This window comes from Homo sapiens, chromosome 18 (assembly GCF_000001405.40).
Source record: "Homo sapiens chromosome 18, GRCh38.p14 Primary Assembly".
Classification (NCBI taxonomy): domain Eukaryota; kingdom Metazoa; phylum Chordata; class Mammalia; order Primates; family Hominidae; genus Homo; species Homo sapiens.
Window position 1 is genome coordinate 46442321 of NC_000018.10, and position 25851 is coordinate 46468171.

At 45.5% G+C, this 25851-nt stretch overlaps 1 protein-coding gene across 4 annotated transcripts in view, besides 5 other annotated features; it reads left to right on the top strand.

The window, feature by feature from the left end:
• ARK2C (arkadia (RNF111) C-terminal like ring finger ubiquitin ligase 2C) overlaps positions 1-20820 on the top strand; it is a 129123-nt gene extending 108303 nt beyond the window's left edge. For 2 of the 4 annotated variants that reach the window (NM_152470.3, XM_024451191.2), the window contains 5 exons: positions 5243-5372; positions 7976-8080; positions 8384-8479; positions 13654-13760; positions 14199-20820. In NM_152470.3, the coding sequence (NP_689683.2) occupies positions 5243-5372; positions 7976-8080; positions 8384-8479; positions 13654-13760; positions 14199-14316 (556 nt within the window). In that variant the 3' untranslated portion in view covers positions 14317-20820. The remainder of the gene's footprint in view (positions 1-5242; positions 5373-7975; positions 8081-8383; positions 8480-13653; positions 13761-14198) is intronic. The other 2 variants (NM_001256758.1, XM_011526016.4) reach the window with 2 other exon arrangements.
• Positions 4974-5757: an enhancer, noted in NCBI's record as "H3K4me1 hESC enhancer chr18:44027257-44028040 (GRCh37/hg19 assembly coordinates)". NCBI's record gives its function as "activates a minimal SCP1, AML or CMV promoter by ChIP-STARR-seq in naive H9 embryonic stem cells {active_cell/tissue: H9 hESC(naive)}" and the evidence as "EXISTENCE:reporter gene assay evidence [ECO:0000049][PMID:30033119]".
• Positions 6146-6440: a silencer, noted in NCBI's record as "tiled region #1203; K562 Repressive non-DNase unmatched - State 24:Quies". NCBI's record gives its function as "represses a minimal TATA promoter and a strong SV40 promoter by Sharpr-MPRA in K562 cells {active_cell/tissue: K562}" and the evidence as "EXISTENCE:reporter gene assay evidence [ECO:0000049][PMID:27701403]".
• Positions 15814-16603: an enhancer, noted in NCBI's record as "H3K27ac-H3K4me1 hESC enhancer chr18:44038097-44038886 (GRCh37/hg19 assembly coordinates)". NCBI's record gives its function as "activates a minimal SCP1, AML or CMV promoter by ChIP-STARR-seq in primed H9 embryonic stem cells {active_cell/tissue: H9 hESC(primed)}" and the evidence as "EXISTENCE:reporter gene assay evidence [ECO:0000049][PMID:30033119]".
• Positions 22454-22953: an enhancer, noted in NCBI's record as "H3K27ac hESC enhancer chr18:44044737-44045236 (GRCh37/hg19 assembly coordinates)". NCBI's record gives its function as "activates a minimal SCP1, AML or CMV promoter by ChIP-STARR-seq in primed H9 embryonic stem cells {active_cell/tissue: H9 hESC(primed)}" and the evidence as "EXISTENCE:reporter gene assay evidence [ECO:0000049][PMID:30033119]".
• Positions 23857-24689: an enhancer, noted in NCBI's record as "H3K27ac hESC enhancer chr18:44046140-44046972 (GRCh37/hg19 assembly coordinates)". NCBI's record gives its function as "activates a minimal SCP1, AML or CMV promoter by ChIP-STARR-seq in naive H9 embryonic stem cells {active_cell/tissue: H9 hESC(naive)}" and the evidence as "EXISTENCE:reporter gene assay evidence [ECO:0000049][PMID:30033119]".

The window sequence follows — 25851 nt, forward strand, 5'->3', positions numbered from 1 at the left end:
TGGGTTTTCTTTTCTAATATAAGCATATAAAACTGAATTTTTCTTTAAGGACTACAAACTTTCTAGTTAGCATTATGAATTCTTTTTGACCCTGGGTAATTTAGAAGTTTATTATTTAATTTTTGAAAACTTGGGATTTTGCAGACTTTTCTTGTTGTTGATTTCTAATTTAATACCAGTGTGATCAGAAACCATACTCTGTGTAATTCTAATCCTTTTATATTTATTGAGACTTGTTTTATGGTCCAGCATTTATACTATCTTAGTAAATGTTCTATAAGTATTTTTAAAAAGTGTATATTCTACTCTTATTGGATAGAGTATTCTATAAATGTCTCTTAGATCAAGTTAGTCGACAGTATTGTTCAGGTCTTTTATATTCTTACTGATTTTTTTTCATGAATTATTCCATGAATTATAAAGGAGGGTGGATGTCTAGAACTCTACTTATGAATTTGTTTTCTTTCAGTTCTGTCAGTTTTTGCTTCACTTATTTTGACTTATATATATTAGGATATTAAAAGGATTGTCATTTTTCAAGATGAATTGACCCCTTTATCATTATGAAACATCCTTCCTTATCCTTGGTAATATCCCTTGGTTCAAAGTCTACCTTGTCTGATGTTAACATAGCCATTCCAGCTTTCTTCCAGTTAGCACTTACGGGGTATATCTCTTTCCTCCTTTTACTTGTAACCTAGTATCTACATATTTATATCTTGAATGGACAGCATATACTTGGCAATTGTTTTGCAGTTGACAATCTCTGTCTGTTAATTGGGGTGTCTAGACCATTTGCATTTAATGCAATTGTCTACATGGTTGGAATTAAATCTGCCATCTTGCTCTTTCTTTTCTCTTTCTTCCATCTGTTTTGTTGTTGTTGTCATTTTGTTGTTTTTCTTTTAAAATTTGTGTCTGTTTTTTGCCTTCTTTTGGATCAGTTGAGAATTTTTAGTATTAAATATTGGTTTAATAGTCATACCACTTTATTTTATCTTATTTTATTTTGGGAATTCACTAGGTTTACAATATTCCTATTTAGCATATCACACTCTACCCTAAAATAGAATTATACCATTTTGTGTGTAATGCAAAACTCTTACAACAGCATACTTCCATTACCCCTTTGCATCCTTTGCTACTTCTTTTGTAGGTTTTATCTCTATGTATGTACAATTACCAAAATACATTGTTATCATTTTTGCTTTAAACCAGTGGTTGGCAAATTATGGCCTGTGAATCAAATCTTGCCTGCTCTCTGTTCTTGTAAATAAAGTTTTATTGGAACATAGACACATCTATTTGTTCACCTATTGTTTATGGCTGCTTTTACACCTCAGTGGACACTTGAGTAGCTGTGACAGAGACTGTACGGCTTTTGAAGCCCCAAACAATTACTATTTATGATCCTTTACAGAAGAAGTTTGCCAATCTCTGCTTTAAACAGTCAACCTTTAAAGACAATTTTTCATAGGAAAAATAATTTTTTATATGTCCCACATGATTATCATTTCTGGCACTCTTTATTCCTTTGTAGAGAGCTAAGTTTCTGTCTGGTGTTATTTTTCTTTAGTTTGAAGAACTTTTTAAAACACTTCTTGTAGTAACAGTCTCCTAGCAGTGCACTCTCTCAACTTTTTGAAAAAGTCTTTATTTCACTGTCATTTAAAAATATATTTTTTCTAGGTATATATTTCTATATATTTCTAAGTTTACAGTTTTTTTTCCCTTCAGCAGTGCATAGGTGCCATTCCTTTGTCTTCTGGCTTGCTTTGTTGTTGATGGGAAATCTATGATTGTTCTTACCTACATTCTTCTATGTTGAATGGGTCTTTTGTTCTTTCACTATTTTTAAGATCCTGTCTTTATTACTATTTTTCAGGAATTAGATTATTATGTCCCTTGGAGTGGTTTTCTTTGTGTTATCCTGCTTAAAGTTTATCGAACTTTTTGGATCTGTGAATTTATAGTTTTTATTAAATTTGGAAATATTTCAGCCATTTTTTCCCTAAAATATTTTTTCTGTCATCTACCTTCCATCCCCTCTTTTTGGGTCTTTACTTACCCATGTGGCTGACTGCTTGATATTTTTACTGAGACTCTGTTAATTTTTTAGTCTTTTTCTGATGGTGTGCTTCATTTTGGATTATTATTATTATTATTCAGGATTTCATTCTGTCACCTAGGCAGAAGTGCAGTGGTGGCATCACAGCTCATTGTAGCCTCAACTTCCTGGGCTCAAGTGATCCTTCAACCTCAGCCTCCTGAGTAGCTTGGACCAGAGGACACACCACCATACCCAACTAATTTAAACATTTTTTTTTTTTTTTGTAGACGTGATATCCCACTATGTTTTCTGGGCTAGCCTCAAACTTCTGGACTAAAATGATCCTCCTGCCTTGGCCTCCCAAAATGCTGGGATTAGAGGCATGAGCCACTGTGCCTGGCTCATTTTGGATTATTTTTATTGTTGTGTCTTAAAGTCACTAATCTTTTCTTTTGTAGTATCTAATTTACTGTTACTCTAACCCAGTGAATTTCCTATTTCAGACATTGCATTTTTCATCTCTAGAAGTTCCATTGGCATCATTAAAATATCTCCTCTTCTATATATTTTACTCTTCTCTGTTTTCATGTTTTCTTTTGTATATTTGAATATGATTATAATAGCTATTTTAGCATCCTTGTTATTTCTGTTTCCTAGTTGTTTCCATGGATCGATTTTTCACCTGATTCTGGGACATATTATCATTTTTTTGGCATATCTAGTAATTTTTTATTGAATGATGAACATCATTTATGAATAATTGTGGATTATACACTGTTAAGTAGTTACGTTTGTTTTATTCATTTAGAGAGTGTTAGGCTTCGTTCTGGTAAGGAGCACTTGCAGTTCAGTTTCATCCTTTTAAGGCTTGCTTTTAGGTCTTCTTCCAGCAGGACTAGAATATCCCTAGAGTAGAGACTACTCTAGATCTTCCCGAATAAGACTCATAAATAAGTCTCAAAAGGCTCTTCTGGGGTCTCTATTGTATGACCAAGGACTCTCTGCTCTGGCTGACTGGAATATGAATCTTTCCCAGCACTGTCTAATCTCTGGGAACCCACTATACCTTGGATGCTCTTTGTTCAACCTACTAAAATTTCACCCCATGTATGCAGATCTTAGTATTCAGTAAAGACTCAAGGGAATCTCCGTGCAGATTTCTGGAGCCCTCCTTCTATGTAGCTGCCTCTTCTCTCCAAATCATGGTACCACAACTTTCAGAGACCTCAGCCTCCTGGAAATAAGATCTCTGAATCCTCAAATCATTAAGATCGTCATGCTCTGCTTAGTTCTCTCCCTGCTCATGGTCTGGAATGTGCCTTCATGCAAAAAACTAGGGAGGTTGCAGAGCTCACCTCATGTGTTGTCCTTCTGTTGATAACAGTCTGCATTGCTTGTTATATAACGTCTGAAAACAGAGATTTCATATATTCTGTTCAGCTTTCTAGTGGTTTAAAGTGGAAAGGTAAACTTAACTCCTGTTAAACTATCACCAGTAGAAGCGGAAATTCCTTTAATACTTCTCCATATCCTTTTTTTTTTTTCTCCAATGTATTTGTTGAAGAATCCAGGCTGTTTTTCCTGTAGTTTCCCCTTACCTGGATTTTACTGGTTGCATTCTTGTGTTGTCACTTAAGATGTTCCTTAGTTTCTTGTATTCTCTGGACCTTGGCACCAAGATTAAGGCTTGAGTAGATTCAGGTTCAACTCTTATTTCTTGGCATAAATACTTCATAGGTGATATTGTATTCTTCCACCAGAGAGCACTACTGTCTGGTTGTTGCTTCTTTTGTGATGTTAGCAACAATCAATGATCTTTGCTTAGATCCTTTATTTCTTTAGGGGAAGCAAAATGATGACAAAAATTCAAGAAAAATTCAATCATCCCTTATTCATTTATTAGCTGAAAAACTTTTACAAAGAGAAATTTCCACTCATCAAATATTTGATTACCTGGAAATACAGTAAGAAAAGAAAGGCTCTTTTCATTTATTTACTAGTTTTCAAAATGAAGAGTTGGCTGGGTGTGGTGGCTCATGCCTGTAATCTCAGCACTTTGGGATACCGAGGTGGGTGGATCACTTGAAGTCAGGAGTTCAAGACCAGCCTGGACAACATGGTGAAACCCCATCTCTACTAAAACTACAAAAGTTATCCGGGCGTGGTGTGGCATGCCTGTAGTCCCAGCTACTTGGGTGGCTGAGGCAGGAGAATTGCTTGAACCCAGAAGATGGAGGTTGCAGTGAGCCGAGATCGCACCACTGCACTCCAGCCTGTGTGACAGAGCGAGACTCCATCTCAAAAAAAAAAAAAAAAAAAAAAAAGGAAAAGAAAAAAAAAAAGAAAGGTAAAGAAGTTTGTTCTCCAGCATTCTTTGAAGGGGACCAATTTTCTAGCATCATTTCATGAGCATGGATCTAAACAATTTTTATTTATTTCCATCCCTCCTGCAGTTATTCTTGTCAACCTGCACATTGTCCTAACTCTGGCCAGTGGGAGCCTCTTCAGGACTGCTTCTGAGCCCTTTTGCTGTCACCCTAATAGTGTTTTGATAGTTCTCTTGTTTCTAGTTATGACAAGATGTTTCCATCTTATCTTGCTCATTTTCTCTCCAGATCTGAAATTGGCCATTTTCCAAATTAGCCATTGGTTCATCCTCAGTGCAATTCATCAATTAATTAGTTTTTAAGCAAAATGAATTTTTCTATATTTTTAGGAGTGGGTTGCGGTGGGCCAGGATAAGCTGTCTGGCCTGTAGGTCTAGGTGTAGAGTTCTCTCTCTTTGTTTTCTCAAAGTGGTAAAAATATAGCCTCAGCTCCCTCCTCCACTTTTATCTGAACCTTGTCTTTCCATTACTCAGTGCCTCTGGCTTGCTCGATTTAGATTCTTCTTTCAGCATTTCTCTCAGGGATGGACTTTGTCTTGGGAGGGAGCTTTGGTCCCCTAGTTTAAAGAAATTTCATAGAGCCTGGATTGCTCTAGCTCCTTCAGACCTTTCAGAGTCCTTTCCTTCTCTGAGTCTCTGTTTCCTTCCCTCTGAAGAGAGAGGAAAGGCTGGGAGATGTAAAGTTCCTTGCAGCTCTGGCAGGGTGTCACTCCAATTCTACTCCATAGGCTTGATGTCTGAGGTCCCTTCTCTAACCTGGCTAAATCACACCACCCTATGGTTCACTGAGGCTGTTTCCCTGCAGGGATCTCAGTGTGGATGCTGGCTTGAGTCCTGCTCAGTTCCAGGTGCGGCCCATCCCTCAGCACTATCAGCATTACCTAGCCACTCCTCGAATGCACCACTTTCCCAGAAACTCCTCCTCCACACAGATGGTAAGTGAAAGAAGACGGACTCCCTTGCGCCTATTGAGTGCCAGTGGTGGTCTGAGGCCTGCGGTCCCCTGTGCCCTGGCTGCTACATGGCCTGGCTCCCCTGTATCCTTGGCTCCCCTGTGCCCCGGCTTCCACATGACCCAGCTCACCTGTGTATCAATCCCCCATGCCCTGACTCCCTTGTGCCCTGGCCTTCTTGTGTCCTGGCTCCCTGGCAGATCAACAGCTCCCCTCTCTTCCCAGCTTCTATTCTCTGTTATCAGCCCCCTATGCCCTGACTCCCCTGTGCCCTGGCCCCCTTATATGCTGGCTCCCCTGTGCCCCGGCTTCCATATGACCTAGCTCCCCTGTGTTCTCAACCTCCTATACCCTGACTTTTCGGTGCCCTGGCCCCCTTATATCCTGGCTCCCCTGCGCTCCGGATTCCATATGACCTGGCTTTCTTGTGTATCAACCCCCATGCCCTGACTCTCCTGTGTCCTGGCCCCCTTATATCCTGGCTCCCCTGTGCCCTGGCTTCCACATGACCCAGCTCCTCTGTATATCAACACCCCATGCCCTGACTCCCTTGTGCCCTGGCCTTCTTGTGCCCTGGCCTTCTTGTGTCCTGGCTCCCTGGCAGATCAACAGCTCCCCTCTCTTCGCAGCTCCTATTCACACTCTGGCTTTATGGGGAATGAAAGGGAACCTGCTGGACTGGAAGCTGGTTCTGCTGAGGGGAGTAGGAGTGGGCACTGGAGGAGTGGAAAGGGGCAGCGTGGCAGGGTGTGGTCTGTGGGTAAAGGGCTCAGGGCTAAGATCAGGCAGAGTAGACCTTGCACTTCATATGGCCTCATTTAGTTTCCTGTGGTCAGTACCTCCCTAGGCTTTGGTTTCACTAATCTGTGAAATGGAAATGAAGATGCCTGCCTCGCCCATCTCACAGGGCTGGTGTGAGGATCAAAAGAGATCCCAGCGGGAGCTCTTGGGCCTAGCCTGCCTATCCAGTTCTGCCTTTTTCAGAGGGCAGGCCTTCTTGTGGCTGCAGAGTGCCGAATCATGGGTCAGGCTGGCTTTGGGGGCCTTTGGGCTCCTGACATTGCAAGCTGCATGGAATTAAAATGAAGATATTCCATGAAAGCAGCAAAAGCTTGATTGAAAATCTTATTTCCAGGCAACTTCACTTTGCTGCCCTAAAGCATAATTCCACCTTCCAAGCCTTGTCTCTGTCACTAACCACTCAGCTCCTCAGTCTCCTTATTTGTATAATAAGGAGCTTGCATGAGTAATTTTTGGAGTCCTTGTAAGCTTTGAGGGTCCATGCTTTGTGTATGAAGCACCATCTCTTAGGAATAAAGAAGCAAGCATTTATTGAGCACTTACTACATACCAGGCACTGTTCTAAGCAGTTCATGTAAATTATCCCATTAATCCTCTCAAAAACTCCCACAAAAGAGTATTATCCTGATTTTAAAGATTGGAAAACTGAGGAATAGAGAGGCTAAGTAACTGGCCCTGGGACATACAGTGAGCAAGTAGAGGAGCTGTGATGGAAACTCCTCTCTGACTCATAGCCAGGGTGAGGGAAAGGCGAGTGAGGCAGGCCATGCCAGAACAGAGTCAGACTCTGTCTTTATTTAAAATATTGATATTTTGCTCAGCATGGAGGTTTTTTTTGCATTTATTTGACTTTAAAAAACATTGCATTAAAATATCGTTAATCTTTATTACTGAGGCTTTTGGTGGCCCTTTAAATTTTGTGCCCCCACCTTGGTGCTGACACAAACCCAAGCCTTGAACCACCAAGCTTCTCTTGGAGGCAGTGCAGAGTAGGAGTGATATGGTTTGGCTCTGTATCCCCACCCAAATCTCACCTTGAACTGAATAATCCCCACATGTTAAGGGCAGGACCAGGTGGAGATAATTGAATCATGTGGGGGCAGTTTCCCACATGCTTTTCTTATGATAGTGAGTGAGCTCTCATAAGATCTGATGGTTTTACAAGGGACCTCCCCATTCGCTTGGCACTCATTCTCTCTCCTGCTGCCCTGTGAAGAGGTGCTTTCCACCATGGCTGTAGGTTTCCTGAGGCTCTCCAACTATGTGGAACTGTGAGTCAATTAAACCTCCTTTTTTTTAAGTTACCCATTCTTGGGTATTTCTTCATAGCAGAGTGAGAATGAACTAAACCAAAAGGTGAAGGGAATGGACTCTGCCACCCAACTGCCTGGGTTTGAAATCCTGGTTCTGTCCCTTGGTTGCATAACTTGAGCCAATTACATAATCTATTGTACCTCATTTACCCCATCAGTAAAATGGGGAGAGTAATAGCACCCACATTATAGATCAGGTGAGATAATTCAATTAGTCACGTTAAGTGCTTAGAACAGTGCCTGCCATGAAGGTTAGCTGTCACTTTATTAATTCTGTTATTCCTTCTGGGGCTTGTCCAGGCAAGGCTTGGTTCTTGATGAAAGAAAAGGGACATAAGAGCAGGAAAGACAATAGTTCTGCCCACAGCATCTCAGGGTGTACTGAGTGGGTTACAGGTGGAGAAGTTGCATGCTGGGCTCATGGAGAAACCTTGAATCCTTGCTCTATCCAAGGCGTTTTCTACCCAACAGGTCGTCCATGAAATCCGAAACTACCCTTACCCTCAGCTTCACTTCCTTGCTCTCCAGGGACTAAATCCCAGCAGACACACCTCCGCCGTACGGGAGAGCTATGAGGTATGTTGCTCTGTCTGGTACCAACTGGGTTGGTGGAGATGCCATTATTGTTATCATCCCTTTTCCCTCCCCACCTCTGCTGGTGAGTAGGGTATGGGTGTCAGGAAGCTTCAGGGTTAAGAGTAAGAAAGAGAAGAAGGGAGAGCCAGTAGAGATATTGCAGTCTTTCAGCATCAGATGAGTTCTTCCTGATAGCTATGTGAATGCTTCCTGCTCATGTCTTCCAGCTCCCAATCCATATCCTGTGTGCATGTGGGCATTTATACATGCTGAGCACACATGTGCACATTTTTCTCTTTCCAGGAGCTGCTGCAGCTCGAGGACAGGTTGGGTAATGTGACTCGGGGAGCTGTACAGAACACCATTGAGAGGTTCACCTTCCCCCACAAGTATAAGAAGGTGGGTCTGCCAGCAGGCCAGCCTGCATAGTCAGGGAATGGGGCAGGGGGGTTGTCTAATTGACTCTGGCCTGGTTGTTCACAGAGGGGTGCAGTCCAGATTCTAGAAACCTTTGCTCTGGTTAGATGCTCTAAAGCTGTAATAACTTCCCAGGGTCATGTTACTTTTCTGTGCCAGGTGTGGCCAGGAGGGAAGATGGAAGGCCTCTCATTAGTAAAGAAGGAGAGCTGGGTATCCGTGTGTGCATGTGGACTTGCCATTGGGTATATTACATACATATACATGTATAGGTGTCAGGCACATAAATACTTGTCTCTAAATGAGATGGGGAAAGGGGATACCTGCACAGAAGGCTAATATTTGCCTTAGAAAATAATTCTATGTCCAATCTCACATGTGAACAAATGGGAAAGCAAGGCATCCAAGCAGAGGTTTTCAAACCTGACTGAGCGTCAGGATCACCTGGGGAGCTTTTAAAGCCACAGAGTCACAGGTTTTATCCTAAGTCTGTAGAGGTAGAATCTCCAGGGCTAAGAACTAGGAATCTAGGATAAGATTAGAGCCCAGGAAACTGAGTTTAAAATTTTTTTTTTAATTAAAATAAATGAAAATTTTGGAAGCAACCAAGATGTCCTTCAATAGATGAAAGATAGATAAACATACAGTGGCACATCCAGATAATGGAATATTATTCTGCAATAAAAAGAAATAAGGACTGGGCATAGTGACTCACACCTATAATCTCAGTGCTTTGGAAGGCTAAGGATGGAGAATCACTTTGGGCCAGGAATTCAAGACCAACCTGAGCAAAATAGTGAGACCTCATCTCTACAAAAATTTTGAAAAGTTAAAAAGTTAAAAAGTTCATGGTGGTATGAACTTGTAGTCCTAGTTACTAGGGAGGCTGAGGCAAGATAATTACTTGAGCCCAGGAGTTTGAGGCTGCAGTGAGCTATGATTGCACCACTGCATTCTAGCCTGGACAACAGAGCAAGACCCTGTATCAAACAAAGAAAGAAAAAGTATAAGCTATTGAGCCATGGAAAGACATGTTGGAAGCAGAAATGCACTGAGGAATTCTTAAGTAAAAGAAGTTAGCCCAAAATGGCTGTGTACTGTATGTTTCCAAATATATAACATTCTAGAAAAGGCAAAACTATGGAGACAATAAAAAGATCAGTGGTTGCCAGTGGGGAGGGAGGGAGGAATGAATGGGTGGAGCATAGGGGAGTCTCAGGGGAGTGAAAGTATTTGGTATCATACTCTAACGGTGGATACATGACATTATGCATTTGTCAAAACTGATAGAATGGTGCAACACAGAGCAAACCCTAATGTAAATGAATGAACTTCAGTTAATAGTCTATTGATACTGGTTCATTGATTGTAACAAGTGTGCCACACTAATGCAAGATGTTAGTAATAGAAACTCTGTGTTGGGAGTATAGGGTATATGGGAAAACACTGTACTTTTTGCTTATTATTGTTATTATTTTTTGAGACAGAATCTTGCTCTGTTGCCCAGGCTGGAGTGCAGTGGCACGATCTTGACTCACTGCAACCTCCACCTCCTGGGTTCAAGCAATTCTCCCACGTCAGCCTCCCAAGCAGCTGGGATTACAAGCATGTGCCACCACACCCAGCTAATTTTTATATTTTTAGTAGAGATGGGGTTTCACCATGTTGCCCAGGCTGGTCTTGAACTCCTAATCTCAAGTGATCCACCCACCTTGGCCTCCAAAATTGTTGAGATTACAGGCATGAGCCACCATGCCTGGCCTGTTTTTGCTTAATTTTATGTAAACTAGAACTGCTCTACAAAATAACATTTATTATAAAAATAAATAAATAAATATTAATACATTTTTAAAACATTCATCCTTCCCAGGGGAAATTAAAAGCTTGACAAACATTAAGAATCTTAGAGCAGGACTGTCCTCATCATTGTCAAGCCAAGGACCGTCTTCACTCCCTCATGAGACCCTAGGGTGCATTGGTCGAGAGCACTCTTAGAGTTAGAGCCAATTTTGACTCTCGGTTCTACCCCTTATAACTCCGTTACTTTGGACAACTTCTTGGCTTTTCTGGCCCCTCCCTGTCCACCTCCCCCTTTTAAAATGTGAAATGGGAATGATCTCATTAGTAGCTACCATACGGGGTGCTGTGGGGACTCAACGGGATGATGCACTTGAACAGCTTGGCACAGTGCCTGGTATCTACTAAGTGCCCAGGAATGGTGAGCTGCTGATACCTTGATGCTTTTCCCTAACCCATGTGCTGGTGGTGTCAATGTCAAAGACTGTGAATCAGTATAGGCAGCTCCTCTCAAGGCACTGGATTTATTCGTAAATGATTTCAACCGCAGTTATTGAGTACCTACTATGTATCAAACCTTGGCTAGTGTGCTAATAGAGGAAATGGCAGCATTTCAGTAATTAAGGGTGTCATCTACAGGGGAAAATGATCATTCTCTGGAGAGAGAGAGTTTTAAGCTATTGGAGAAGAACATAGAAGGAAATGAGTGGTGTATTCAAGTCCAGGAGCAGCACCTGTGTCCCGGACCAGGGAGTGTTTACTCCTACCGAGGATGCACGCCTCACCTGCTGTCACTTCAACAGGCACGAGGAAATTGTGAAGAGAACCAATGCTAAGAATTAAAAGGGGAAATGGACTGAATCAAGTAGATAAAGGGCTCGGGTAAAAAGGAGAATAAAAAGAATTAAGGGAATAAAATATTATAAAAAAAGAACAAAATGAATTAAAAATAAGAAATGACAAAAGTTAGGACCCAAATAAAATGTGGAAAAAACCCTTAAAAATTATACACAAGTGAAAAAGACAATAAAGAAGAAAAACACCTTAAAAATTTAAATTGAGAGTATAATCATATACAATAAAATATATACTTTAAAATAGTAATGATGTAAGAATAAAAATATAGAAAATACTGAGTCAAAATAGAAAAATATGCAAAGAATAAAAACTAGAAAGAGATATGAAAGCAACATATAAAATTAACATCAATAACATCATAGTTAAAAGGGGGCTGGGCACACTGGCTCATGCACTCTGGGAGGCGGTGGCAGGAGGATAGATTGAGCCCAGGAGTTTGAGACCAGCCTGGCCATCATAGAGAGATTCTGTCTCTACAATAAAAAGAAAAATTAGCTGAACATGATGGTGTGCACCTGTAGTCCCAACCACTTAGGAAGCTGAGGTGGGAGGATTGCTTAAGCCTGGGAGGTCAAGCCTGCAGTGAGCCGTGATTATACCACTGCACTCCAGCCTGGGCAAGAGGGCAAGGCCGTCTCAAAAAAAAAAAAAAAAAAAAAAAAAAAAGTAAAAGGGAAGGTTAATGAAACGAGAAGATATATAGATTAGACAGCAAAACAAGGTAATATTAAGCTAAAATTTTTAACTATTAAAGGAAAATCATGAATAATGATGGCAAAAAAATAGTAGAAAGTAGGCAAATAGGCAAATTGGTGACTCTTACCAATACATTTTATTGGACCTCCTTTTTCTAGCAGGGTCAGCTAAACGAAGGCCACTCTTCCAGCAAACACAGCTGGACTCTTAAGCAGGCAGATCATCATGACTCTATTCATACTCTAAAGCCATGACAATTATACGGGACTATGGATGTAATTCTGATTTTCTGGATTCTGGATAAGGGAAAACTTATTACAGAAGCCTAGCAGGGTTTGCAGTGGAGTATATAGGGCACAGCGAGGCAGAGAGCAGAACAAATAGATTTTCTTGTGTGTTCCAGTGAGGTTACAGTATTCCCCAGACTAAACCAGACTCAGGATCTCCAGAGTTTAGGACCAGAGGCCAGAGAAGGGAGACTTGGCATCCGGGCCTTGCCCCACGGTCATTCTCTAGGTAGTCTTCATCTTGTGACTCTTCAGATTTTTCTCTTTGCAAAATGATCTTGAAGTCAGCCTGTCTCTGGAGAGGGACAGAATGAGTAATTTTCTTCTTATGGTTATTGTTAGACTGTTTCATGGCACAGTGTGAAGATGTGAACATGAAAGGTGGGCTGATTTCGCTCACGACTAGATTTCTTCTTTGCCAAAATATTTACCAAGTACTAATACGCCTTGTAAGTGACCAAGTATGGGGTGGTACTTAAAGAAGGGTAAGTCATGAGTCCATGCCATCTGAATTTGAGACTTTACATAATGGTAAACTACATAATGATTCTACATATGGCTTCTACATAACGGTAAACTATTTTCAAATAATCAGCATAAAATGAAAAACAGTACAAGGGAAGTCAACAAGTATAAACAGTGTTTCATGATTGCTTTACGATAGTGCCTATCTTAAGTGAACTTTCTGGATAGAAAGATAAATCCAACAATATAAATAGTTTATAACAATGGCTACAGTTTGTAAGAGTTGATGTCTTCACGTAGTTATCAGTGAATAAATGAGTCAACAGTGGTTGACTGAAAGAATAAATGAAACCTGCTGGGCCTGAAAGTGGAGGGAGAAACCTGAAGGCAGGAATCTAGGTTGTAAAGGGTGTTGAGGGGGAGTGGATGGTGTGAAGGGACCAGAAAAGGGAAACTGTGCACAGTCATAGCTTTGCAAAGGATCGATTCATTAGGAACCCAATTTCTTTCTAAGCTCTGTATCCCTAGAAAGTGCCTGGGACAGCAAAAATGATGTCCACTTGACCTCTTCCTACTGCCCTTGCTGCAGGAGAGTAGCTGGGAAGGAGTTCTGGGTATTACTTAAGAACTTTATGGCCGGGCAAGGTGGCTCACATCTATAATCCCAGCACTTTGGGAGGCTGAGGCAAGCAGATCACCTGAGCTCAGGAGTTCAAGACCAGCCTGACCAACATGGTGAAACCCTGTCTCTACAAAAATACAAAAATTAGCCAGGCATGATGGCAAGTGCCTGTAATCCCAGCTACTCGGAGGCTGAGGTGGGAGAATCGCTTGAACCCAGGAGGTGGAAGTTGCAGTGAGCCAAGATCACGCTATTGCACTCCAGCCTGGGCAACACAGCAAGAATCAGTCTCAAAAACAAAACAAAACAAACAAAAAAAGAAACTTTAAAAAACCTGACTCCCAGGGGAAGAGCAGGCTGTGGGTGAAAACCACCAGCCACCAGCTGAGTCTGCCCCAGGTAATGAATACTACTCTCTCTGCTTCTCATAGCGAAGACCCCAGGATGGCAAGGGCAAGAAGGATGAGGGGGAGGAGTCAGACACAGATGAGAAATGCACAATTTGTCTGTCTATGCTGGAAGATGGAGAAGATGTGAGGTAGGAGACCGCCATTTTGATTCCCTCTCCCCTCTCTTATAGGTATTGGTGACCAATCACTGCACCGTGTGTCTGGGAGTTGGGGTGCTTGTTTGCTTGTGCACGTATGTGCCAAGTGTGCTATAATGTGCTTCATGGTTGCCCTGGGAAGGTGGGGTATGAAATGTTCTAGATGTGTGATGCCCGGGTACGGACGCGAGGATGAAAAGTGTAGGAGAACAGTGTGGTGTTCGGTCTGAATGCGTCTAAGACAAAGTTGTGGCTTTGTTTCAGGCTGATCTGAAAGCGCTTCCTGGCGGAGGCTTCATGGTTTCCCATCTCAGCCACAGCCTCCCTCCATAGCCGGGCAGTTCCCCAGGAGTCCTAGGTGTGTGTCCCTGCTCCGCTCAGTGTCCCTCAGCTCTTGCCGGGCCTCTGACTCTCCCTCCTCTCTTCCAGACGCCTACCCTGTATGCATCTCTTTCACCAACTGTGCGTGGACCAGTGGCTCGCCATGAGCAAGAAATGCCCCATCTGCCGAGTGGACATTGAGACACAACTGGGAGCCGACAGCTGAGGGAGGAATTAGCCAGTGGACACCCCATTTCCTTCACCAGGTCCCCCCACGGCCATAGCCCTTGCAGCCAAACTTTGCCTTCTGAGCCATTTGACGTAGAGGAAAAGCCTGCAAGCACATTTTGTGGAAAGAGGAGTTGGTGGTATCGGTGTCGAGGGAGAGGAGGGGGTTGGGGAGGACCCACCTCTCCAGAATGGCGACTGTCCCCATCCGCCTGGCTGAGCAGGAGAGAGGGAGCTGGCGGTGCCCAGCGCAAGGGCGGGAAGGAGGGGCCCAGGCTGCGGAGAACCCAGGTGGGATCCTGAAGGCACTAGCTGACAGACGGGCCCCTCAATCCTGTCCTCTGAAGGATTGTATATATACCTCTCGACCACGTAGGAACCATGTAGGGGTCTCTAGCTATTTCTGTGGATGGCAGCCGGAGCATGTTAGCTTAAGAAAAATGTTGTGTGTGGTGCTCTAGTCATCTTGTGGTGGACATGTCGCTATTACCGAATTCGCACCAAATATTTCTCATTGAGTTTCTTGTTTTGGTGCCTGACCGAACCAACGACAGCCCCAATCTTCCCGTCTTTATGAGAGAAAAGGAAAAAGGAATCAAAGGTGGAAGAAAAAAAAAGCCAAATTCTGTTTACGGTGAAAAAGGATTTTGTTTTTCACCCAATTTGGGAGGCGGGAGGGGGGGGTTCTCGTTTTATTTTTGTTTTTGTTTTTACCTTGGCTTTTGTTTTTCTCATGTTTACAGTGCACGGAGTGTGGAAGGGGGTCTAGGAGAGGGAGAGCTGGAAAAGGAGCTGATGGGGTCTTATCCTGGCCTCTGAGGGTTCAGCGGAGGTGAGGAAGGCAGCAGAGCTCCAGCAGGTGAAGGGAGAGTTCATCTAGGCGGGGCTCCCCAGGCCCAGGGCTCAACTTCATGGCCCCAGCTATATCCCCCCAGTTCCACACTAAACCAGGGAGGGCTCGGCCCTCAGCTACTGGTACCCAATGTGTTCCTGGGAGCCGAGAGACCCATGGTCACTCCAACTCCTTCCTTTAGGCTGTGCTCTTGCCTGTCACAAAGAGGCAACGTAGCCACTGCCTCCCTATGCAAAAAATTAACCAGATGATGCAGATAAGACAGCATAGGTGATGGCTGCTTGGTCTTGGCCACAGTGCTCTCAGCCAGCACTAAGGGCTGAGGTCAATACCGCAGACCTTGGGGAGGAAGCTGAGCATCCCCCGGGATGTCTCCAGTCCTGACACAGTCCCTCAGAGATGGCCCTGGCTCTGAGGTCACATCAGCTAGGTTTGGGAGGCCCCTCAGCTTGGTTTGGGAGTGCCCGTGTTCCTGGTCTCTGGCTGCTTCTCTGACTCTTTGATAACCTTGGGCAAGTCCCTTTCTTTCTCTGTGCCTCAGTTTCCTTCTCCTTTGAGGGGGGAGAGAGAACAGTGCAGCCCCATTTCCGGTCCTGCTACCTCACCTAGATGTTGTGAGGATTCATATTCTCTGTCCAGCGTGTTCTATGCTCTCTTCTGAGAACCTTGTGGGGTGTCGGGATGGGGGTGCTGGGAGACACAGACCTGATACAGTATGTCTTTCTGCACCACCTCACAATTTTCCTGAACCCCAAAGGGAGCAGAGAGATAAGAGGACAGAAGAATGGAGATGGGAAAATCCACCAAATTCCAACCCAAACCCAACTTTCTTTCTCCCTATGTGGAAGACACCAGATTAGCTGGAATTCTGCCACCTTCCTTTGTGCCCCACCCCCCACTGTTCCCTCATTTGCACTGCTCTGTAAGCCTCCCCCTCACCTCCATTCATAACCCAGTCTCAATGCCCTCGTATCAATAAGACCGGGGTAAGGGGGACAGGATACTTGTCACATATTTGAAGAAATTCCATACAGTGAAGGAAATTTGAGTCTGTATTGCTGCTACAAGGGTAAAACCAGGACCAATGGGTAAAAGTAACAGGCGGGCAGATTTTGGCTTGAGGAAGAGCTTCTAGCACGACTGGTTCATGCGGGAATAGCTGCTCTGGCCACCTGCAGGCAGAAAGTGGGGGAAGTGGCTCCTGGCAGGAGATTTCTCCCAGCACTAATATCCTGGTGTTCTATAAAATCTTTATTGAGTGCCTACCGGTGCAGGCGCTGGGAGAGACAATAGCTTTGAGGAGCTCACAATCTAGCTGAGGAGACAAGACACATCCAATGCTGCAAAAATGGTGAATAACCTGATTCAGGGTTAGCAGCAATGAGTATCACAGCGTCCAACTCAGTAGCTCCAGTGTATGAAAATGTCTCCAGGGCTAAAGGCTGGAGATCTCACCAGTGGGGAAAGTACATCTGAGTCAGGATTTTGGGGGAAAGCTAGTTACTGATAGCCACAGGAAGTTGAGACTTCTGCCCCATTCTCTCCAATGGCTGGGTGAAAACCAAGAATTCATCGGAAGATGGCTTTGGCCTGGAGGTAGCTAGGGTGGTCTAGGAAGCTCACTCCTCTCTTAGTCTCAGTCTTTCATTCTTTCTGCTGAGACTGGCCTGAAAGGCTGGCAAGTGGGAGGGAGTCAGTGGGGAGGCCAGGATAGAACTAGAGCTGGTGTCCCAGGTTCCAGTCTGGGCTCTTCACTGACAAAGTGGGCAACACTAGAAACTTCCCTTTGTCTCTCTGGGCCTTAGTTTCCTCAGTTACAACCTAAGGAGGTTGGATTGGATGCTTGCTAATTTCCTTCTGACACTCACACTCCCTAACATCAACACATCTTCAAGGCGGCAGAGCTGTGCGCCCACCCAGCTATTGAAAAGGACTTTCTGTGGGCACACACTCTGTTTCAGACTGGGCTGGGGGCACACGTGCTGGGTGAGACAGTGGGCCCTCGTCCCCTCCCCCCTCCCAATTCTCTGCCCCAGGCTAATATTAGGGACTGGGGAGGGGACCACCAGAGGGGAGAGGGAAGCTGCTTACTTTGGGGGTAGACCCTGAAGCCCCTCCTCCTTCCCCCACAGATGGGGACAGGAGGTGATGGGGTGCTCAGAACCCTGCAGCTCCCACTTCTTTAGCCGGGCAGCTGTTTGGGGGACAAGAGAGGGCCAGGGTCTGTGCTTCTGCTCCCGGCACTGGTCAGGGAGTCTGGGAAGAGTGGAGAAGAGGCAGGGTCAGGCCTCAGCATCTCACATCCACCACCTCCAGGAGGGGAGACCACTGGTAAGTCCTCCTCCTGCTCAACTCAAGGGACTCAGACCCTTTCTTGACTGAGACGCATGAGTGCCTTCTGGGGTGAGAGCAGCCCCAGGGTTTAAGTTGGGCGTCCTAGCAGCTGCAGCAGCTGTGCCGCCGCGGGTCCACCGAGGACGCCAATCAATCAACCCAACACCACAAGCTTGGTTGGGTGCAAGCAGAGGGTGAGCAGGGGCTGCCCCTCCACCTGGCCAGGACCCCCTTCGGCACCCAGTTGCCCTTGGCCACCACCTGTGGCAGGACTCAAGCTCCTCTTCTGCAAATGTTCCCAGCCTCCGTGCAAGTATTCTTAACTCTTTACGCCTAATGAACAAGCACAGTTTTTCAATGGTGAAGAAAAAAGCACCAGACTTTTTTTCTTTTTTTCCTAAAGAAATCCCCTAAGCCCCCCGCCTGTAGGCGGGACAAACACTCCCTGCGTGGGGCTGTAGCAACGTCTGTCAGGCCCCCTTGTGTTTCATCTCCTGCGCGCGTAGAGCAAATGCTAGAGCGATTTCAGCTGATAGAAAAACAAAAATGAAAAAAAAAACACAAAAAACAAAAAACATGGCACGTTGCTAGTTTACAGGGTTTTGTGAGTTTAAATGCCTTATATTTAACAATCATAATTTATGACTAACTTGTAGATATCGTGGGTTCTTATTTAATTATTTTTATAGTTGTTTTGCATTTTTAATTATAATTTATTTATTTAGAAAGGATACTAATTTTTTTTATTACTCCTATTACCTCATTTTGGCGTTGTTTCTGGGAGTGGAATGCTTTGCATGCATTGGTACGATGACAAACAACTACGAATACAAAAAAAAAATTTAAATAAAATTCTGCAAACTTTATTTCGTCCGAACTATCAGGGTGTGTGATTGCAAGCTGTCCTACCGTGGTGCTGGCCTCTTTGGATACATTCCATACGAAATGCAAACCTTTGATTCTGTATGCTGTGATCTAGTGAAAAACTCCAATATAGTGACTGTATTTAGCACATATATAAATATAATTTGCACTTGTCAGCAGACTGGGGTAATCCTTTCACTTGCTACACTTGGCACCCCCCCGCCCCCACCACAACCCTGCCTCTCCATCATGAACCTGCCTTTCCTCCTCCCTCGCTCCTCCCACAACCTCAGCCCACCCAGCCGGTATCCTCTGAGGAAAGTCTTGGGGCACTAGAGGCCACTGTCTCCACCTGGCCTCCAACTCCAGAATTGGAGCCCTCCAGACATTACAAGAGGAACATCAGAGAGCCAAAAAGCCTGACTTCTTAGAAGGAGCCCTGGACTGGGGAGCCGGGAGGCTCAGGTTTTCAAATCTGCTCCATGACAGACGTCCCAATGACCTTGAGCAAGTCCCTTGGCCCCTGAGTCTCAGTTTTCTGGGTGGGGTGAGTGAGGAGAACTGGGAGATCTTTAGGGTCCCTTAGATTCAAGTAGAATGTGACACAGATCCCGTGGGAAACCACTGTGCTGTGCTGTCTCACCTTCTGAGGAGAGAAGAAAGAGGGAGAAAAGGCAGGGCATGGTGGCTCACGCCTGTAATCCCAGCACTTTGTGAGGCCAAGGTGGGCAGATCACTTGAGATCAGGAGTTTGAGACCAGCCTGGCCAACATGGTGAAACCCTGTCTCTACTAAAAATACAAAAATTAGCTGGGCGTGGTGGTAGGCGTCTGTAATCCCAGCTACTCGGGAGGCTGAGGCAGGAGAATGGCTTGAACCCAGGAGACGGAGGTTGCAGTGAGCTGGGAGCGTGCACCACTGCACTCTAGCCTGGGTGATAAGAACAAAACTCAGTCCAAAAAAAAAAAAAAAAAAAAAGAGGGAAAGAGGGAGAAAGGATTGGGAGGAGAAAAGGAGAGCAAAGAAGAAGAGAAGAATAGAGAGAGTGAGCTGAGAATTTGAGCTTGCTCAGAGTTGACTTTCGGGAGGGTTTTTGTCCTATAATATGTGGCATCCTGTGGGTGACAGGGAGGTGAGTTAGGTGGACACGTATAGGACGTGCCCTTTCATAAGGCTTGGGCAGTCATTTGGCGAGTGAGCTGAAATCCATGTCTTGTTAGAGATAGGGATGGGGTAGGCAGAAAGGAGCTCCAAACTATGGGTTTGGGATTGGCACCCCTATCCTATCATCACCCAGAGTCTTCATTGTTGAGATGCTGCCCATGGAAAACAGATTGGGACATAGATTTTGGAATCAAGGTCTCTGCTCCTGGCATCTCCTCTGTGCGTCTCCCTCTGCCTTTGCTCCCTGGGGACTGTGGGCAGGAGGAGCTTCTTCGGAGGACCGGGAGTGGGCCTCCAGTCCCCCTGCCCCTGTAGAGGAATAATGAGGGAGGACATGGGGAAGTCACTGTCAAAGGCTGGCACAGCTGTGAGCCCAATGCCTCTGAGCGAAAAGGAGAGAGAGGGAGTTCACGCCCCTGAGAGTAGCCCCCTGAGCCGGCTGGGACCTGGACTGCCTGCTTTCCTCCTGCCTCTTCCCCTTTCCCTCCTTCACAGCTTATCCTCCTTCTTCCCTCTTTACATCACTGCCTTTACCTGGTGGGGATGAGGCCCCATGGGGAAGGTGCTGATGTGGAGGGAGGAAGTGGAGACCGAGATTCGCCATACTGCCCAGGGAGGCTGTGTGAGAACTGGGCTGTGTATGGTCCCTAAAGCCTCAACTCTGCCCCAGCTGGGCGATGGGTGCCCCTCTCTGGGCTTCCTGCCTAGCTTCCCCTTCTGCCTCCAGCCTGGAGCCTTGCTTTCCCTGGAGACAAGCCCGTGGAGTCCCCCACCACACTGGAGGGAGCACGACCACCACACTGCTGGGCCTGGCAGACACCACATCTTTGGCAGGGCTCCTGGACGGGCATGCCTTATGCTGCTCTGCAGGGTCAGAGTGGAAAGGGGCCCTTTGCCCTGGCTGGCCTGTGCCCTCACCCTTGAGCCCCTCCCCCCACTCCACCCCTGGCCTCGGATGCGGCTAATTTCTCAGCCATGGAGCCAGCTGCACCAGCCCTCGAGGGGGTAATTTTGTTGCCCCTGGCAAGTGAAAGGATTATCCTCAGTGTTGATTGTCCTTTTTTGTAATCCTCCTGCTGTTCTGTTCTGTTGTGCTGTGCAACATTTTGCTACATAGACTATTTTATAGCAGAAAGCTAGAAGAATATTTATTATGAATATTAAAGCAATAGTGCATCAATGAAAAGGCGGAGACATTAGGAATTGTGTAAATGCTTAGATTCACTTTTGGTGGATTTTTTGTACTTTATTTATAACTAATAAAAATGAACTGCATTGCTAACTACACCTTATGCCTGCTGGGTGTTTATTTTGGTGTGTACCCAGGGCATGTCGGAGGAAGCCTCGCCAGGCCTCTGTCTTTGTCCAAGATAAGAGGCACTATCAGTTATCTATCTAGCTCTCACCAACTTGCCTTGTTCTCTCTCCTTTTTCTCTTATTTTCCTCTTCCCTTTCTGCCCCTCTTTCACCCTTTTCTTCCCCCCCCTTCTTGTCTCTTATCTATTTCTTTCTTGTATCTCTTTATCTCTTAAAGAATCTGTTCTATGACTGTGGACCAATCATCTAATTGACCTATTTCCTGAACTTTAGGTATGAATTGTAAAGCGGAATTTTTTTTTTTTGGTTGGAGTGCAGTGGCACAATCACGGCTCACTGCAGCCTCAACCTCCTAGATGCAAGCCATCCTTTCACCTCAGCTTTCCAAGTAGCTGGGACCACAGGTGCATGCCACCATGCCTGGCTAATTTTTTTTTAAATTTTTTTTGTAGAGACAGGGTTTTGTTATACTGCCCAGGCTGGTCTCAAACTCTTGAGCTCAAGTTATCTCCCAGCTTAATCCCAAAGTGCTGGGATTACAGGTGTGAGTCACCATGCCTGGTCGAAAGTTCCCATTTTTGATCAATCTTCAAATGAGTGTTTGAACTGGAGGGCTACTCGGATTCTCTGTAAAAGAGAAGGAACTTGATTTTCAATGGGTGGTTGATTTTCTACTCCCTTATAAAAGCCCATGCTCACAAGCTCCTTGCATTGTCTAGAATCTGCCCTCCAAAAAGTTTGGGGTCAGTGAATGAAAAACTGCAAACAGAACCCACATTAATGAACTTTGAAAAAAATAGTAATTTATTTTGTAGGGCAGTTTTAGGTTTACAGAAAAATAAGCATAAAATACAAAGATTTCCACCTACCCTCTCATCTCCACACCAGTTTGTCCTATTAGTAACATCTTGCATGTGGTGCATTTGTTATAAATGATGGGCCAATATTGATGCATTAAATAAAGCCCATAGTTTACATTAGGTTAATGAATGTTTAGATTCTTAGTTTTCATTCAAGTGAGATGAACCCAAGTCTGGAGTTTTCCATACCTTTCTCTCTATGTCTCATTTGATCCATGACCTCCCCCGGCCAGTCCTGTGAATGTGGCATGACATTTCTCTTCTCTGGCTCTGCCGGTGTGGATGGTAGCCTAAGCTCCTTCCAGCTCTAAAATCCCACAAGTCTCTATTTCAAGTTCCTACCTCCCTCTATTATCCGTTTGTCTGTTTAATCTGTTAACATTTACAATGGAGGTTGATCCTGGGAGGAAAGGTCTGGGCTGCTTTTGGGGTGAAGGGAGAGGGTCGAGGAGAGCATTTCTCTTTCCTTGGATTTTGTGTCCACTCAACACATGAAAATATATTCAGTCTTCCTAGCCTCTGCTCCCGCCCCTTTCCCATTGCAGCACCCAGGAGAAAGGTTCTCAGAAAACATCCAGGTACGTGCCCTGTGACTTCCTGTCACCATAATGACCCCCCAGGTTAAGGAGGAGTGGAATCTGTCATCATCTCACTCCCAGACACTCTTGGGTGCCTCCCAGCCAGTACTTTTCTCCCTACAGCTCCCCCCATCCTCCCCACCACCTGCAACCTCACACCTGGCTCCTTGCTCTCTCTCCTCCCCAGTGCTCTGCAGGCCATGGGAAGCCCCTCTCACTCCTGGGAAGTGGGAAACAAGATCCTTCTCTTGCAGGCATTGTCCGGTCGCCCTCCCTTTGGCCCTCAGTTACATGCCCTCTTCAGCAGTCTTCAACCTGGCAAATAACACGTCTCCACTCACACTTACCCACCACTGAGTGGCCTGGGATTTCCACCCTGGTCCTCCAACCAGTCAGAGCAGCTACTCTTTGGTCTGTTTTAAATATGGAGCTTCCGTTGAACATATCGTTTGATAAAAAGCCCACGCTTGCGCTTCCTGTGCTAGCTGCTTGCTGTGTGACTTTGGGCAAGTTACTTAAGCTCTCTGTGCTTTGGCTCCTTCATCTATAAAATGGGGATAATAATGGTATCTGCTGCATAGGCTTTTATGAGGATTTGATGAACATAATATGTGTAAGCACTTAACGTGTCTCGAACACAGTGAGCATTATATAAATATTAGCTATTATGATGATGATGATATTTATTTTTTTAAACCCTGCCTTCTGTTGGCTCTCTCTTTGATCCTCTTGGCTCTCCTCCCTCTCCTTTTCCTAGATGGTTTCCCAGACCTTATCAATATCTACCCTTCTCCTCTGCCCACTTCCTGCCATGGTCAGCCACCAGCAGTCCCTGTCCAGCAGGGGGCTGGTGGCTGAGGCCTCAGCACCACGACTTCTCAAATCACTGATAAAACAATTTTTTTTTCTGCATTTGGTTGGAAACTCTAGAAGAAAAGGCACATTGAGGCCACTAGGCTGGAAGAACAGACCCATCTTCCCTCCAGTTCATAAGCAACCTCCCCTGCACCACCCTTCAGGTGCCCCTACCAAAACTACCCCTTCTGCCTTCTGAATTTAGGACAAATGTACTTTTCTCTCCAGGCCCTTCTGTCCAAAACCTCCTTTCCTAGAGACTCTATTTACTCCCTTTGTCCAAGGCTGAGATGGCCCTATCTGTTCCCTTGAAACTCCCTTATGTTACCCTTGCTCAGGGCATTTTGGGATGTCTATGGGTGGTTGGTGCCTGGTGCCAGGCTCTGAAAAGGAGCTGGGAGTAATGGGAGTGCCTGTTCAGGATGGACACACTAGGGGGTCCTCAGGAAGTAGGGCACCCATAGCCCTGTCCGAACTCATCCATTTGTACCCCACAAATCAATATCCAGAAAGGATGTATCTGGACTGAGCTAAGTTTGCTTGTACCAGAATTTTGGATGAAAAGGGTTGTTTAGCCAAAGAACCAAGAAAACAACATTAGAAGGCTTTTGTTTAACCTACTTAAAAGTGAGAGTGTTTTTTAGACTTCGGTGCAACAGTTTGTATGTAAATAGCTTGTGCTAATTGCAAATAAGTCTTATCTCTTCTTTAAAGTAGACCCTGAGGGATTTTTATCTGGAAATACTTTGTTAGCAGTTACTCCAAAGCAATATAATTACTGTTCTCTCAAACATTCTTTAATACAGACTTGTGTCTAAATCAGGGGAGGAAAGAAGGAGCTAATATAAAACCTTGTCACTCACAAAGCCATCCTTATAAGGAAGAACTTTCGAGCCATGTGAGCCGTCAATACCCAAGAGGGTGTGGGGAGGGAATGAGCTGCTCTTGCAAGGATTGCAGGAAAAGAAAGGGAGGTGCTGGGGGCGGGGAAGGAACCCTCCCCTTCCTTTGTTTTCTTCACCCTGTGCCCTAATGAGAGGCTTGGCCAGAGGAGAGGTGGCATTTCAGCACAAACTGTCTATCCTGGACCGCAGGATGTTAGCAGAATGGGTATTGGGGTGAGATAGGTTGAGGGAGGAGGCCCTTTTCCAGAAAAGGAGCTGTACACACTCACCATGCTGGCTGCCTGGTCTCAGCCTCAGGATTAGGACTGTTGGGATACAGAGCTCTAGGGCAGCTATAGGTAGAAGAGTAGCTTTCTGCTGGGGCCGGGACAGGAGGCGTTCACTCTCAAGCGCCAGCCCTGCACTTGCATGAGCTTGAGGTTAGGTGCCTCCTTACGTTTTGCATCCTGGGCCTTTGCTTGCCTCACCTTAGTCCCGGCCCTGCTTGCTGCCCTGCCACAAGTATGAAGACTTATTGAAATGCAAAACCTGTCCAGGTGTAGTGTAATCTCAGCACTCATGCCTATAACCCCAGGGCTTTGGGAGGCTGCTGGAAGAACACTTGAGGCTAGGAGTTTGAGACCAGCCTGGGCAACACAGTGAGACCCCTGACTCTACATAATTTTTTTTTTTTAAATCAGCTGGTCATAGTGGTGTACACCTGTAGTCCTAGCTACTTGGGAGGCTGAGGCAGGAGGATTGCTTGAGCCCAGGAGTTCAAGCTTGCAGTGAGCTATGATGGTGCCACTGCACTCCAGCCTAGGCGATAGAGGAGACCTTGTCTCAAAAAAACAAAAACAAAAAAAAGCCTGGGCGTGGTGGCTCATGCCTCTAATCCCAGCACTTTGGGAGGCCGAGACGGGTGGATCATGAGGTCAGGAGTTCAAGACCAGCCTGGCCAAGATGCTGAAACCCGTCTCTACTAAAAATACAAAAATTAGCTGGGCGTGGTGGCACGTGCCTATAATCCCAGCTACTTGGGAGGGTGAGGCAGGAAAATCGCTTGAACCCAGGCGGCAGAGGTTGCAGTGAGCTGAGATCACACCACTGTACTCCAGCCTGGGTGATAGAGCAAGACTCCGTCTCAAAAAAAAAAAAAAAAAAAAAGAAAAGAAAAGTTCAGGCCAGGGTAGGATGGGGTAAGACTTGGAGGGAGTCCCCCTCCTGGAGACTTCTCATAGGCACCTATCATTCCTTCCTCACAGTAGACAGCAGGGATGAGGGCAGTAGCCAGGCTGGGCACAGCAATCAGGGGAGAGAATGTGGCAGGAAGGCCACCTTTCCAGACCCTTCTCCCCACGCCCTTGTAAGGGGTTCTCCCCTCTCCTTCACCTGCAGCCTCAGCATGGCCTGGGAGGCAGAGGGCTGACTGGAATGAGTCAAACAATAGAGCTTGCCCAGGGCCCCAGCATCCCCTAGGGAAAATCAGTGCCCATCCCAAAAAAGCCATCTCATCCTGTAAAAGTATGGAGCTGGGATCTGGCTGATGAGACTCCTGGCCCCTCCCTCTCCCCCTCCCCAACCACACACCTGCTCCCACTTCCTCCACTGCTGCCCCAAGGCCTGCTCCCGAGGGGTCCCATCCGGGCACCCAGGGTGTGGAGGGCCCCCATCAGACAGCCAGGATCAAGCCCAGCCTTGCCCCTGTGTGACCGTCAGCAAGTCAGAGACCCTCTCTGGTTCTCCGTCCTTGCTCCTATAACGCAGAAATGCTGCACTGGCGAGGGGCCTCATCCCACCTTCTTTGTTCCCCCCCATATCTC